Here is a 15,518-nt window from a genome sequence, read left to right as displayed (position 1 = left end):
CCTTTGTTATTTTTTATTGTGTTCATTTGGAGCTTTTATCTTTTTTTTCTTCATTAGTCTAGCTAGTTATTATGTCAGTTTTATTTATTCTTTCAAGGAACTAACTCTTGACCTTATTGATCTTTTATATGCTGTTTTCATGTCTCAGTTTCCTTCATTTCAGCTTTGATTTTGGTTATTCTGCTAGCTTTGTGGTTGGTTTCCTCTTGTTTCTTTAATTCAAGGTGTGATGTTAGGTTGTTAATTTGAGGTCTTTCTAACTTTTTGCTGTGGGTGTTCAGCGCTATAAACTTTTCTCCTAACATTGCTTTAGCTATGTCCCAGAGTTTCTGATATATTGTATCTTTGATGATCTGTCTAATAATGTCAGTAGAGTGTTGAAGTCTCCTATATATTATTGTGTGGTTACTAAGTCTCTTCATTGATCTCTAAGTATTTGCTGTTTGAATCTGGGTGCTTCTGTGTTTGGTGCATATATATTTAGGATAGTTAGGTCTTCTTGTTGAATTAAACCCTTCAGCATTATGTAATGCCCTTACTGGATGTGCTGCTGGATTTGTTTTGCTAGTATTTTGAATGATCCAAAAATCACTCAAAAACATACAATTTAATGGAAGTTAACCTGCTCCTGATTGACTTTGGGTAAACAATAAAATAGAGGCAGAATTCAAGAAATTCTTTGAAACTAATGAGATCAGATATACAATATATCAGAAACTCTGGGATATAGCTAAAGCAGTGTTAGGGAGAAAAGTTTTTTTTTTTTTTTTAAATCTTTATTGATTTAAAGTGTGTTTTATCTGAAATTAGAACAGCAACCTCTGCTTTGTTGAGTTTTTGTTTGCTTGGTAGATTTTTCTCTGTTTACTTTGAGCCTGTGGGTGTGATAGGTCTCTTGCATTTATATGTGTGATGGGTCTCTTGATGACAGCATACAGTTAGGTCTTGCTTCCTTATCCAACTTGCCAGTCTGTGCCTTTTAATTAGGGCATTAACCCATTTACATACGAGGTTAATATTAATAGGTGAGGATTTATCCTGTCATCTTGTTGTTACCTGGTTGTTACGCATCTTAATTGTGCGGTTGCTTTATATTATCAGTGATCTATGTACTTAAGTGTGTTTTTATGATGGCCTGTATTAGTCTTTCTTTTCCATATTTAGCACTCCCTTAAGGAGTTCTGGTAAGTCAGGTCTAGTGGTAACAAATTCCCTTAGCATTTGCTTGTCTGAAAAGGATCTTATTTATCCTTTTCTTATGAAGCTTATTTTAGTTTGGCTGTATATGGAATTCTTGGTTGGAATTTTTTTTCTTTAAGAATGCTGAATATAATCCCTCAATCTCTTCTGGCTTGTAGGGTTTCTGCTGAAAGTTCCACTGTTAACCTGAGGAAGTTTCTTTTTTGGTGACCTCCTTCTTCCTAGCTGCCTTTAATATTTTATCTTTCACTTTGATCTTAGAGAATCTGATTACTCTGTCTTGGGCAAGGTCGTCTTTTATAGTACCTTGCAGGGGTTCTGTGCATTTCCTGAATTTGAATGTTGGCATGTTTAGCAAGGTTGGAAAAAATTTCATGAATGACACTCTAAAACATGTTTTCCATGTTTCTTGCTTTCTCTTTTAGGGATGCCAATGAGATGTAGATTTGGTCTCTTTAGATAATCCCATATTTCTTGGAGGCTTTGTTTATTCTTGAATCTCTTTTTTTAATTTTTGTCTGACTGAATTATTTTGGAGAACTGGTCTTCAGACTCTGAGATTCTTTCCTCTCTTTGGTTGATTTCCTGCTGTTAATATTTGTTCATATTGTTTGCCTCTGTGTCCCCACCCAAATCCCATGTTGAATTGTAATTCCCAATGTTGGGGGAGGGACCTGGTGGGAGGTGATTGGACCATGGGGGTGGATTTACCCCCAGTGTTCTCATGATAATGAGTTCTCATGAGATCTGATAGTTTAAAAGTGTGTGGCACTTCCCCCTTGAGTCTCTCTGTCTCTCCTGCTGCCATGTGAAGATGTGCTTGCTTCCCCTTCGCCCTACCGGCATTACTGTAAGTTTCCTGAGGACTTCCCAGCCATGCCTTCTATACAGCCTGTGGAACTGTGAGTCAATTAAACCTCTTTTCTTTATAAATTACCCAGTCTGAAGTAATTCTTTATATCAGTGTGAGAATGAACTAATACACCTGTGACCGTGTTTTAAAATTGTTGGAGTCTTTCAGCTCTATCAGATTCTTTCTTACAATTGCCATTTGTCTTTTATCTCCTGTATTATTTTATTGTATTCCTTAGAATCCTTTTATTGGGTTTCAACATTCTCTTGAATCCAGATGATTTTTGTTTCTATTTATACTTTCAATTCTGTTTCTTTCGTTTCAGCCATTCAGTCTGGTTAAGACCCAGTACTGGGGAATTAGTGTGGTTGTTTTTAGGTGAGAAGACACTGTGCTTTTTTGAGTTGCCAGAGTTCTTGCTGCACTGGTACCTTCTCATCATTGTGGGTGATATTCCTTCAATCTTTGAAAATGCTAATCCTTTGAATGTGTTTGTTTGTTTGTTTTTTTGCTTTTGTCTTCTTTGATGCATTTGGAGGTTTAATTGTAGTATAAGGTGAGTTCAGTGAAGTCACTTCCTTTGTGAAAGATTTTAGGGAGCTAGGGCTAAGCTCATCCCTCCTAGGCTTCATGCTCTCACTTTAGGGGCCTGACACCAGGCCCCCGGCATTCTTGTCTGGACTCTTGAGGTTAGGAACATGCTGTACTGGAGCTTCTGAGATGTTCCCAATCCTCTGGCCATGACACCTCCATGGGTGGTGCTAGCCAATGCCCTTTGTCTCAGCGGGTTAGTGGGCTCTGCGTTCATTTGTGTTTCAGCAGCTGTGGTAGTGTGGCAGGGTGCACATACATAAAATGGAGTGGGGTAGTGGTGGAAGCAGGGCTGTGGTATGTGCTTCCACTGGTGTCGGCTGCCTCCGTCACATGTTTACCTGTATATCAAACTATCACACAGTTTTGAAAGTTGTTTGTACAGTGTATGAGATGTTCTGTTGCTTGATATTATTGCTAATACTTGTATTATCTGATTTAATTTAACCATTGGGTGTGTGGTGGTATCTTATTGTGGTTTTAGCTTGTATTTGTTTGATGACTAATTTGAATATCTTTTTATGTGCTTTTCATCATTCACATACCTTCTTTTGAGAAGTGTCTGTCTCCCCCATTTTCTTATTGACTTTCCCCCATTTTCTTATTGACTTGTCTTGTTAAGTCTCCAGAATTTTTATAAATTTTTAATATAAATCTATCTCAGATACATGTATTATAAATACTTTTTCCTAGTCTGCAGCTTGTCTTTTTATTTTCTTAATGGTATCTTTCAAAGGGCAAACACTATGAATTTTAATGTCCAATTTAGCAATTCTTTATTTTTCATCATTTGCCTACCCATTGTTGTGACAGTTTTCTTCTTTGTTTTCTTGGTGTCCTTCTCTGTAAAATTGAGGTAATGTGAGAGTTAAATGAATTGATATATGTAATGTACTTTGAAAATGCCTCACATTTAATAAAAATGGTACAGTGTTAGCTGCCATTATTGTTACCACAACTCCTTTACTCATAAGTTATTTTTGAGGCTTTTGGATGCTGTCTCTACATCCCTGTCTCATCTTCATTCCTCTTAAAAATTTGTCATTGCCATTTTCTTTAAGGGTCTTTTGTTTACAAAAAAGGACTAAAGTTAAGATTTTCTGTATATTAGAGAAAGGATATCCTAGCATTCCATGTAGGGTATGATTTATATTACATGCCACTGTTTTGTAATCTACCAATTTACCAGTGACTTGGTTTCCTTTCATATGTGATGTTACAATGAGATTTATAGAAATTTTTGCCATTTCCTTCCCCCAAAAGGTCTAAAGCCCACCATGAATGTCATGATTTTCCCCTTTTGTTAAGGCTCCTTTGGTCATCTCTGACATTGGCTTCCACTGTATTTTATGCATACCTTACATGCCTTTTAGTGTGCTATGGAAGATGGCATTTTAGAGGGTATTGTTTTCGTTGTCAGTTTTGCTAAACAGAATTTAGGGGCTGGATTTTGATTGAGGTACATTAATTGGATTAAAAATATGAACATAATTAGCATGAAGGCAGTAATAGTTATACCAAAATGGAGTTTCAAATGAGTATAAACTAGGTCAAGGCAAGATGTTCTTCTTAAAATACATTACAGTATGATAATGATCCACCATAGTTGTTTGAGTCAGTCTCAGAAATGGAGATATTGTCCTGATTCTGTTCTCTATTATTTTGACCAAATATTTAATCAGTCTATCATTTTCCTATTATAGAGTGAGAGATATAATATCTTCCTAGCAAAAATAATATTAAGCAATGAGATAGTTAGTATTTAGCAAGTGATATAGTTCTTATAATAAACTCAGTATAATTTTTAGTCTACAGTCCAGATCTTATTGATCTCTTTTCTAAAAGTATCCCCTCCATCTGAGCCCCTCTCCTGAGCCCTAGATCAGGTACTGGGCTATCCACAAAGTAGTGCGTAGTGCTTGGCAATGAATAGGCAATTGGTAAGAGTGTTGTATTTAACCAAACTTTCAATTTTATCCCTGTTTCTTGTGGCTTTTTTTGTCTCTCTTTCCTGTGGATTCTATAAACTCAAGAAATCAATATTCTTATGGAGGGAAAAAAAGCAAACAAAAACTTACTGCAGCTGTTCTTCTTACAGTTTCTGTCTTTATGCTTTTCACACAAATGTTTTAAGAGAGTCAATTATTCTTAGTTTCCCATGTATCTTTTTAGCTTTTATAATTTAGTTATTGTTAAACTGTTTTAAACTATGTCTAATAACCTTAGGCCTCATAATTTTAGTGTATTTTCAGATTTTCTAGCTTTTGTGTAATAGCTCCTTATAGTTTCTTCTTTGCCTCCTCTGTAACACTTTCCCAGTCTTTTTCCTCCTGTCTGTCCTTTACATTTTTATTTTTATTTGTTTTGTTTTTAATGAATTACTCCAGATTTTATCTTCATCTCCTTTTTCTTCAACAAAGAAGATAGCTGAGTGAGGGAGTGAATTAAAATATTTCTAGGGCTTCGTTTATTTGCCTTTAAGCAGATGTTGCTTTCTTGAACGTAGCTGTGATTTTTCAGTTACTTTTTGGACATCTCCATTTTGGTATTAGCTGAATTTTTCATAGTAAAACTAATTGTTGAATATACTTGGTCCTACGTAGAAGGCAAGCTGTCTTATGTTCATCACTATGTCTTAATTGTCTAGCATAGTGCTTGGTACATAGTTGGCAATTAATACACATTTATTATATGAACAATTGATATTCTCCTGTGACCTGAAAGTTAACATGTTCAAAATTGAACATGTTGGAATCTGGAATTTTCCTTTGCTTCTGTATCTTCCCATTGTTTGAAGCATAGATCAAATGTTCCCTCTTCCCTAAAGTTTTCCTTAATCATCACAGTCAAAAATCTGTTTCCCTATTCTCTATTCCTTTACCAAATTATACTTTTATTGTACCTTTATTCTGGATTACATTTTATTTATTTATGTACAGAGTTTGCTGTACATAAGATTGAGGTCACTTGCTAACTTCTCCAAGATAAATTAACTATTTAATAATCTAAGGTTTTGGGAAAGGAAAGGGTTGAAAAGTGGATTTGTATCACTGTTCCTTCTGTATAGAATCCCCTCCCCATCTTGCTACTTTTCACTCATTCTTCAGCCTCAGGTGAGGCATTATTTTATCCAGGTGTTTCTGAGCCTGCTTTAAGTCTTGAATAGGTGACTTTTCTTTGTATTCCTCTATTATTAATTCCTTTAATAAATAATTATTGAGTGCCTTTATTGTGCAGACACTATGCCAGACAGGCCTTTGAGAAACAAAAAGGTAGGACTTTTGTGGCTGAGTATGTAATGTTTAGCTCATTATACAATTACGTATTACACAGATAAGGAAACTGAGGCTCAGATAAGTTCAGTGAATATACTAAGGTTACAAAATTAATAAATGGGAGAGCCTGGTTTCAGACTTTAGACTTTCTGAGTCCTTAGTATTCTTCCCATTATACTTTGGCATTCCTCAGTGAAAATGTTTTTTGAAAGATTTGAACCAAATCTTTCTAAGCTCTGGTATTTTGTTTCTTTTCCAGCACCACAGAGCATTCTCTTAACCATTTACTGTTACTTAGTAAAGGAGATACATGTACATGGAACCAATGCTGTTGACCAAAAGAGGATAGTTAACTTGATACTGGGCAGAAATACTTCCACTGAATTTGTGTCTTTGAAAACTGATTTTAGCATTTGCTTTACTCAAAGGATTTACAAGCCTCCAGAGTCGTCAGGGTTCTGTGGTATCTATTGTCTATGTTAATCTATGGATTTGTTTTATTTTTCCACTGGAACATTACAGCTCTCAAAATTCATAGCAAACACCCTACACTCTATTTATTTCCATTCAACAGTACGATGGTGTGAATTTGACAAAACTGTGGCAAATACTTAAGTTAGTATTTCACAAAATACCCAAACTCCTTTTGGCAGTTGATTTCCAGGCAGCTGATAAAACATTGAATTGGTAGGTGTTTTTTGTTTTTGTGGGTTATTCATTTTGATGTGGATACGGAAGGGTAGGGAAGGAGAAGTTGTTATGGTATAAAGACAGAGTTGGAAAAGTTGGGCTTATGTTGTTGTTTGTTTGTTTTTGTTTTGTTTTCCTGAGAATATTCTCTGTTACCCTGCAGTAAGCTGTCTACATTCCAGGATTCGACAGCCTGCTTGCTTAATAGCCTTCAAAAACATACATGTCCTGTCATACCTGTGCTATGTTCTGACTACTTGGTAACTTGTTAGCTCAGAGATTAATTTTAGGGATGTTTTATATAAGGAAACCTCTCCTCTAATGCTACCTCCTTTTGTTACCTGTTAATAGTCATGGTGTTAGGTTTATTGAATGACTTTTGCCTCTATATTATTTTCTTCTCAATGTTCTTTTCATTAGGAATATAATGGCCGGGCGCGGTGGCTCATGCCTGTAATCCCAGCACTTTGGGAGGCCGAGGCGGGTGGATCACCTGAGGTTGGGAGTTCGAGACCCGCCTGACCAACATGGAGAAACCCTGTCTCTACTAAAAATACATAGTTAGCTGGGCGTAGTGGCACATGCCTGTAATCCTAGCTATTCAGGAGGCTGAGGCAGGAGAATTGCTTGAACCTGGGAGGCGGAGGTTGTGGTGAGTTGAGATTGCACCATTGCACTCCAGCCTGGGCAACAAGAGTGAAACTCCATCTCAAAAAAAAAAAAGAATAGTAATCATAACATGAAATAATACATTCATTTGTGATTTTACATCTTGCTCTTCTGAGTTTGACAAAGGAAATAATGTTTATAAGATGAAGTTACTGATTTTTCCTGTTTTGACATCCTTAAACTTTGGGTTCTGTGAGTGTTTTGCCTGAATCAGAACTGTGGAACTAGACTTTATGACTCAAGGTTTGGGGATATTACATGTCAAATGCATGTTTTTAAATTTTCTAAAATACAATTTTATAACTGAGAAATATAGAAACATTTAATAGACAACATTTTGCATCACTAAAAAAATTAGTATTATGTTTAAATACATTTTTAAAAATATACTTATTTCCTTTTAAAGTGTTCTCCACCACACTTGGGCATTTATCTGTTTCTTTAAATGGCCTTCTCTGTTTCTTGTTTGCAGGCAGCTATCAATGGTGTAATACCACAGGAAAATGGCATTCTACAAAGGTATGTTATAAAGTGCTTACCAGTTAAGATGACTTAGCAGAACAAAGAACAGAGCTAGCTGTTAATTTTTTTGTTTTATTTTTTAATAGAGCATTGATTTGGGGTATATAAGTTCATTAACATTGTTCTTTCAGATATTTCTATGTGTTATATTAATTCCCCAAAGTCTCCAACTTTTAACTGTATAAAATTATTGCATATTTGGTAACACCATCTTTTAAGGTGGTTTTAATTTTTAAGAAAGCTTTTCAAGCTTATCCTTTGATTTATAAGATGAAAGGAACTGAATTTTTTAAACTATTAGCACTGGCTATTGGTTTACTAACCCCAGAATATGGTTATCAAACTTAACTATACAGGCTTTATCTCCAGGCTTACTACAGACTTTTTCTCCTTCCCTTTTGGGTTCTAAATCAAGTATATGATAATTTGCAACAATTTGAGGCAGTTCTTAATAATGCAACTCTTCAGAGTACTGAACTATTTTACTTGAAGTATCCAGTGTTAACAAGTGGAATGGTTTTAGAGGTTTTGTGTTATGGCCAGAAGGTAAAACTGGAAGATGTGGCCAAGAGAATTATAATAGTTGCAATGTAATTGCTTGAGTTAAAAATAAATTCATAACTTTTGTCTCCTTAAAATTGGAGACTCTGGTTCTGAATTAAAGAACACTTTATAAAGTCTTAGGAGGTAAAACCATTCTCCCTTCCAAGTGTAGTTTAATTACTTGATTTTCCCCCCTTTCCTCTCAATTCAAACATTGGCTTGAATTTTGGTGGCTGGGATTTCTAAGTCACTGAAGCATGATCTGGTAAGTGCGGATGAGGCGAACAGAAACAGCAGATTAGGAATGAGGTCGTTTTGGAGAGCAAGAAAAGTACTCTTGCAGAAACATCAGGAAGTTCACCATGAACTGCAAGACATGCTGTTCTTGATAAGAAACCATATATTTAGGATGGAAGCAAAATTTGTTTGATACCTGTACCACCTTTAATGGTTGATGGTTTTTAGATGAAAGCAATGATAAAATAGACCTATACCCCCGTTCCTCTCTTCTAAACTGTCAGAAAGATTTTCATCCAGAGTAAATGTGGCAGATTTCTAGAGTTTCTACCAACTTCTGTTTGTTTAATCTTTAGTTTGTTGTTGTTTGTTCCAGAGCATTCAATTCTATCGAAGCCCTTGTCTAGAAAGCAAACCAGATGAACTTCCTTTATGGCTATTTTTTTCTTAGTTTAGAAAGTTTCACACTGCTAAATATCACTCCAGTTTTATTTTTGAGTAAATGTTATTGCCACTTTTTGTGCCAAAATTTTTGCTATGCAAAATCTGTGGGTTCAGCTACTGGATTCTGAGTACATATTGGATATATCATCCAATTAATAGCATTTGCCATAGGTGAACTGTAGAAACTTCTTCTCCCCTGGAAACATTCCATCTTTCCTGTCACAGATTATACTTTTTATTTAATATATTTTATGACTAGAAATTCAGTATTAAACTGATTTCTCATAAAGTTACTATAATATTTGGGGTTGAACTGTGATCAGAGTAGGATTTTGTTGGTTTTGTTTGCTTTTTTTGAAGGAATGAAACATATGTCTACATGAGAAAATCAGTTGTATCTAGTAATATTCTTCAACTATTTCCTTCCTAACCTTGTTCTTTAGCTTTGAAATCATTGTGGATTTAACATAACTGAAAATTCCTCTTGTATGTCTACTGACCAGAGGAAAACAAAAGAGGGCTCTTTGTGTACTTTCTTATAAGCTGAACACTGAAAGTAGAAGGCACGATGCTGGAAATGGTATATGCAGGCAGTTAAAAGGATCTTTGTTTTGTATGTTTGGTTTTTATAATAAAGTCGAATATATGCAGTCTGTGTATACATCTGACTGTTAAATTGTTAGTCCATCCCTTAACAAAGAAAGGAGGTATCAAATACTATAGTTTAAATAAATTACTATATAAAGCAATATTCTCATGAGATAATGAACTTTTGGTAGGAAATAAATACCCACCTCACTGATACATGTGTTGATACTAAATTCCTTTGACCAGAGATTATTCAAAACAAAAAACTGTACTAATTATCTGCAATCTAAAGAAGTTTCTTTTTTTTTTTAAGAGAAAGAAGAGCCAGTGTGTGCCTTATAGCTTTTCTTGAAATCAGGTTTTTGTGTGAATCCAAGAGGGTATATGATTTTTAATGTAACCATAAACTCCAAGGGAAAGAAACTTTTTTTTGAATGCTTAAGGCAGTGTGCTGGGCAATTGACATATTTTTCTTCATTTAATACTCACTACAACCTGTAAGAGGTAAATGTTTACATTTTACATATGAGGAAATTCAAAGTTAGAGAGTTTACATAGACTTGCCCAAGTTCACAAGCATAGAAGCAGGTAGTGAAGTCTAGATTGTCTTATTTTAAAAGCCATGCTCTATCCTCTCTATTACTCTGTCTTCTTCAAGATCAGTCAGTGAGGTATTTCCAAACTTTTAAGATTTTTCCTTTGAGAGCTGGGCGTGGTAGCTCACGCCTATAATTCCAGCACTTTGGGAGGCCGAGGCTGGCAGATCACTCGCGGTCAGGAGTTCAAGACCAGCCTGGCCAACATGGTAAAACCCTGTCTCTACTAAAAATACAACTTGAACCTGGGAGGCCAAGGTTGCAGTGAGCCAAGATTGCACCACTGCACTCCAGCCTAGGTGACAGAGTGAGACTCCATCTTAAAAAAAACACGAACAGAAAAAGATTTTTATTTTGGGTAAAGAAGGTGAAATCCAATACATGTACATAATGTCTGTCTTCCACAGCTTGGTTTTTTATAGTTATTATTTTAGTCGTAAGCTATTAAAGGCAGATATTATTCTTCCTCATTTTACAGGTAGATAGGATAAGTCATAAAGTGACTTGGCCCAGATGATACAGCCTGATGTTGATGGAGTCAGGAATATAAGCAAGTCTTCTGACTCTTTCTCCAAGGCTTATTTCATGAGACAGTATATTGCTAACACAGCATACTATGTGTAACTTATGCAGTCATAAATGTAAACTATTCATTCAGTCATAAACAGACACTGAGTCTGTGTATTTACATGGTCCAGTATATTATTTATTTAACATATTGTCCAGAGCCTCTTTAAAAATTGTTTTTGGAGATATTTTTAGGAAGAAATGTTAGTGAATTACTTGTATAACTGGAGAGCTGATGCTATGTTTTCTAAAAGTAAACTTTATAAATTAATAGCATAATTTTAGCCACTCACTAAGTGGATGGTATTTATTAACTCATATTTGTTTTATTACCCAGACAGGTGTACAATTTGTTCATTTGTCCATTGTTTAATTCATTGAGAACACCTAGAGAAGATGTTTATTTTCAAACCTTGACCATTAGGCTTTCAGAATATGTAAATGCCCAGGTTTTGTACTTAAAAAATAGCCATTATAGCCAGTTAGTTTCTATGTATTGCTTTGTCTAATTTCCATTTAAAAAATCTGATTTGATTCACAAGTTTATCTCTAAAATAAATGCGGAGTTTTTTTTTTTTTTTAAGGAGGTGCCTAAAAATTTTGCCATGGCATGGACTTTAAAGAATTGAAATAATAAACAAGTGCAGAGTTCCTGTTTAGTTTTCTTTCTGTTCATTGCCTTCCAAGAGCCTGAGTTGTTTGTAGAGGAAAGTTGAGTAAGGATAAAAACACTTATTTGGTTGAAGTTTTAGAACTAAAATAGATTTCTACATAGAGCTTCCAAATCGGTGTTATTTTTATATTTATTTATTTTTAAGGTCTTGCTATGCTGCTTAGGCTGGACTTGAACTCCTCCTGAGCTCAAGCAATCTTTCTGACTCAGCCTCCTGAGTAACTGGGTCTACAGGCACGTGACACCTTGCCCAGTTTCCCATTAGTATCTTTTTTTGTTGTTGTTTGTTTTTTTGGAGACAGGCTCTTGCTCTGTAGCCCAGGCACAATCACAGCCTCCTGCAGCCTCGACTTCCTGGACTGAAGTGATCCTCCCACCTCAGCCCCCTGAGTAGCTGGGACTGTAGGCGCTTGCCACCACACCTAGCTAATTTTTGTATTCTTTGTAGAGATGGGGTCTCATGATGTTGCCCAGGAGTTCTAGACTACTGGGTTCAAGCCATCCTCCCACCATGGCCTCACAAAGTGCTAGGATTACAGGCATGAGCCACTACACCTGGCATTCAATCAATATCTTTTTTTAAAAAAGGTATTTATAGATTAGTAAATCTATAATGATTACATGGTTAGATGATTAAATAGAAAAGAATAGCAAGGTCAGATTATAAGATGGTGGTTTTCACAGCTGGGAAGTGTTAAAAATACATTTACTCTTTTTTGATTCAATAATTTTGGATGCTTTTGTATTCTTTGGGTCTCATTAAATGTTAGTGAAAACTGATGGGATCCTTCATTGACTGGTAAGATCTCTCTCTTCCTCTCATTTTTTTGGATTGCCTTTTTTTGAGATGAGGTCTCACTCTGTCACCCAGGCTGAAGTGCAGTGGCATGATCTCAGCTCACTGCAACCTCTACCTCCCTGACTCAATTGATCCTCCCACATCAGCCTCCTGAGTAGCTGGGACTACAGGCATGTGCCACCAAGCCCGGCTAATTTTTTTATTTTTTGTAGAGATGGAGTTTCGCCCCAGCCATGTTGCTCAGGTTAGTCTTGAACTCCTGAGCACAAGTGATCCTCCTGCCTCGGCCTCCCAAAGTGTTGGGATTACAGGTGTGAGCCACCTCACCTGGTCTACCCAAGAAATTTTACCAGAGGGAATTTTATATAGGGAGTCAGTTACACAGATGTGGAGAAGGTTGAAAGATCAGAAAAGGGATACTGAGACAACCTAGATAGAGTGACTGCAGGAGGCAGCTGGACCACCAAGTCCAGGTATGGGTGGTTCCTTCTGCTTGACGAGGAAAGGAGCCCAGGGAAAGAGCAGACTCATAGCTTCAGTGAGAAGGGTAGGGATGTAGAGGTCATGATTCCCATTCCAGGCCAAGAAGCAGCAGCTAGAACACATCTACCAGGGAAAGCCCCCTGCTGACCACCAATGGGCACAAAGGAAAGTGATAGAGGAACAAAGGAAAGAGGCTGATGGAGGTTGAGGTTAACAGAACTTTATTTGTAGCTCAGCGGAAGAGCCCTAGGAACTTGGCACCAGACATATGAGAAGGAAGTCCTGTTCAGCTGATAATGGTAGCTTTGGCAGGATGTGGAGAGACTTATGGAAAAGGTGCCGTAAAAAAAAAGCTAGAAGCTAACATCAGTGGTTGATGCTAAAACAAAATGAGTGCCAGTGTTGGGGTGATATGTCACTGCTAGGGTGATGTTGATAGGATCAGTGTGCAAACTGCAAGAAGATAGGGGTGTGTGTGTGTGTGTTTGTGTGTTTGCTGCCAAAGTTTTTGTTTCTGTTACTGGTCATAAGGCCATAGTTGATACTGTGAGTTTCTTCTTTCACTATTTATTCTGTATTCCCTGTTTTCAGCCAGCACCTCAAATGGTCAGGGTTTTTTTTTGTTTTTGTTTTTTTTTGTTGTTGTTGTTTTTTTACCTGGTGAAGCATCTTTCACCTTCATTTTTGAAGAGTCAGAATCCTCAGTTTACCTGCTTTTTGATTAGTTGTAATTTTCCATTCTTACTAGACATGCCCCAGAAAATCTCCTGGGCTCCAGTCATAGTCCATAGTGTAGCAGCAGCCCAATTTTTTTCTTGGTAATCAGGACCAGTCACTCTATCCGGTACTCCTTCCCTAGGTGGTAATTCAGTGCCATGAGGAGTACAAAATGGCCAAGCAACATTCTCAAGTTCCAATTCAATGGAAGTGTTGTGGAAATGTTACATCTTTGGGAACCATGATTTCTGAACCATCAGCACCCAAAGTTGTAGGAGGCAAAAGTTTAGTAAGCTGTTAGGCATGTAAGAGGAATCACTGTCAACACTTAATTCCCATACATGTGTTTTCTGGCAGTATGAAAAATAGTGTGGTGTTTTGGACACTGATATAAAGCATTTATACCACATACTTTAAGGAGGACCCCCAAGCTTTGAGGTTGTCTCCTAACCAGTGTCATAACTGAATCTTTAGTAAGTCATTCTGTTGTTCTGCCAAGCTAGCTGCTCCTAGGTAATGGCATACACGATGATCCCAGTGCTGCACTTCTTTTGCTGTGAAACAAGTTCCTTAGTTAGAACCAAGGTTGTGTGGGAAGCCATCAATATGGTATTCGCAAAGTCCATGAATGGTGGTCCTGACAGATGCATTGCTGTCAGGCAAGTCAAGTTCCTATTTAGAAAAGTGTCTTTTTCAGAGAAGATAGATCACTGCCCCCTCCATGATGGAAATATTTTATTACCAGGTCCCTGGGAAATGGCACCTTATTGGGGACTCAATATTAGTCTGTGTCATTTGCAGTTTAGGCACTCCATAGTTTCTCTAGCTAGATGCAGCCTTGGTGAGGGGCAGTCCATGTTGTGGTGTCCATGCTTAACCTCCATCTCTGTTGACATGGCCACATTGTACATTAATGCATCAAGCAGCCTCAGTAGCAAGGGAAAAAAAGCTGACTGAACAATGTCTTCTTATCTATGTTATTAAGATCCTTTTTTTAAATTGCTTAGCCTTTAGAGAATATTCACTTAAGAAACAAATATATTTAGCCAGGTACGGTGGCTCACGCCTGTAATCCCAGCACTTTGGGAGGCCAAGGCGGGTGGATCGCCTGAGGTCAGGAGTTCAAGACCAGCCTGGCCAACATAGTGAAACCCTGTCTCTACTCAAAATACAAAAAAAAAAAAAAAAAAATAGCTGGGTGAGGTGGTGGGCACCTGTAATCCCAGCTACTTGGGTGGCTGAGGCAGGAGAATCGCTTGAACCTGGGAGGCAGAGGTTGCAGTGAGGCAAGATTGCACCATTTCACTCCAGCCTGGGCAACAAGAGTGAAACTCTGTCTCCAAACAAACAAACAAAACCAAATATGTTTATATTCTGTGTGCATTCTAAAGGATCTGTTTTCATATCTCTTCTCTAGACTTTCTTGTCACCCAGTTTTCCAATTTTATTCTTTTCAGGACCTGAACAGCTGGCCAACCCACCATCTATTGCCTATGATTCAATGTAGATTTATACCTCAGGCTATCTCTCCTTCCAGATGAAGTGGTGAACGTAGTACAACATTAAGTTCTCCCCAGTGGGGGGCTTTTCTTTCACTGCTGTCTTTCAGGGTTATCATTGATTGTGGTCGTAGTACTACAGCAGTGTAATTTTGGCTGGTGCCAGCATATTTTACATAATCATTTTTTCTCTTCCCAGTCCAAATTTTTTTTTCCTCAGTTAACTTAGTTATTTCTTATTTATTGTTGGGAAATACAAAGTACAGCTTTCACCTTCATGTGCTTTCAACCACTGCATTCTAGAAACTTTACCAAGGTGGCAGCCCTTGTATTTTTGTGGTGTGTGTCTGCTAATCCCTAACATGCATGCGTCCTACCAAAGTATCAAAGTATAGGTTTAGTTTTCCTTATTTGAAGTGCATAGGACCAGAAGTATTTCACATTTCAGTTTTTTTCAGATTTGAGAATATTTGCATTATACGTACTGGTTGGTTGAGCATTCCTAATCTAAAAATCTGATATCCAAAATGTTCCAGTAAACATTTCCTTTGAGTGTTAATGTCAGTGCTCAA

The 15,518-nt window shown here is 36.9% G+C and overlaps 1 protein-coding gene across 4 annotated transcripts in view; it reads left to right on the top strand.

The window, feature by feature from the left end:
* The window catches only part of FAF1 (Fas associated factor 1), a 523,240-nt gene that overhangs the window by 150,840 nt on the left and 356,882 nt on the right, over positions 1-15,518 (top strand). For all 4 annotated transcript variants that reach the window (NM_007051.3, XM_047442745.1, XM_047442743.1 and 1 more), the window contains one exon: positions 7,751-7,797. In NM_007051.3, coding sequence (NP_008982.1) covers positions 7,751-7,797 — 47 coding nt within the window. The remainder of the gene's footprint in view (positions 1-7,750; positions 7,798-15,518) is intronic.

The sequence above is a fragment of the Homo sapiens genome, chromosome 1, assembly GCF_000001405.40.
Source record: "Homo sapiens chromosome 1, GRCh38.p14 Primary Assembly".
NCBI classification, from domain to species: domain Eukaryota; kingdom Metazoa; phylum Chordata; class Mammalia; order Primates; family Hominidae; genus Homo; species Homo sapiens.
Note: the sequence above shows the minus strand (reverse complement) of the source record. Positions and strands in the feature narration are given on the sequence as shown.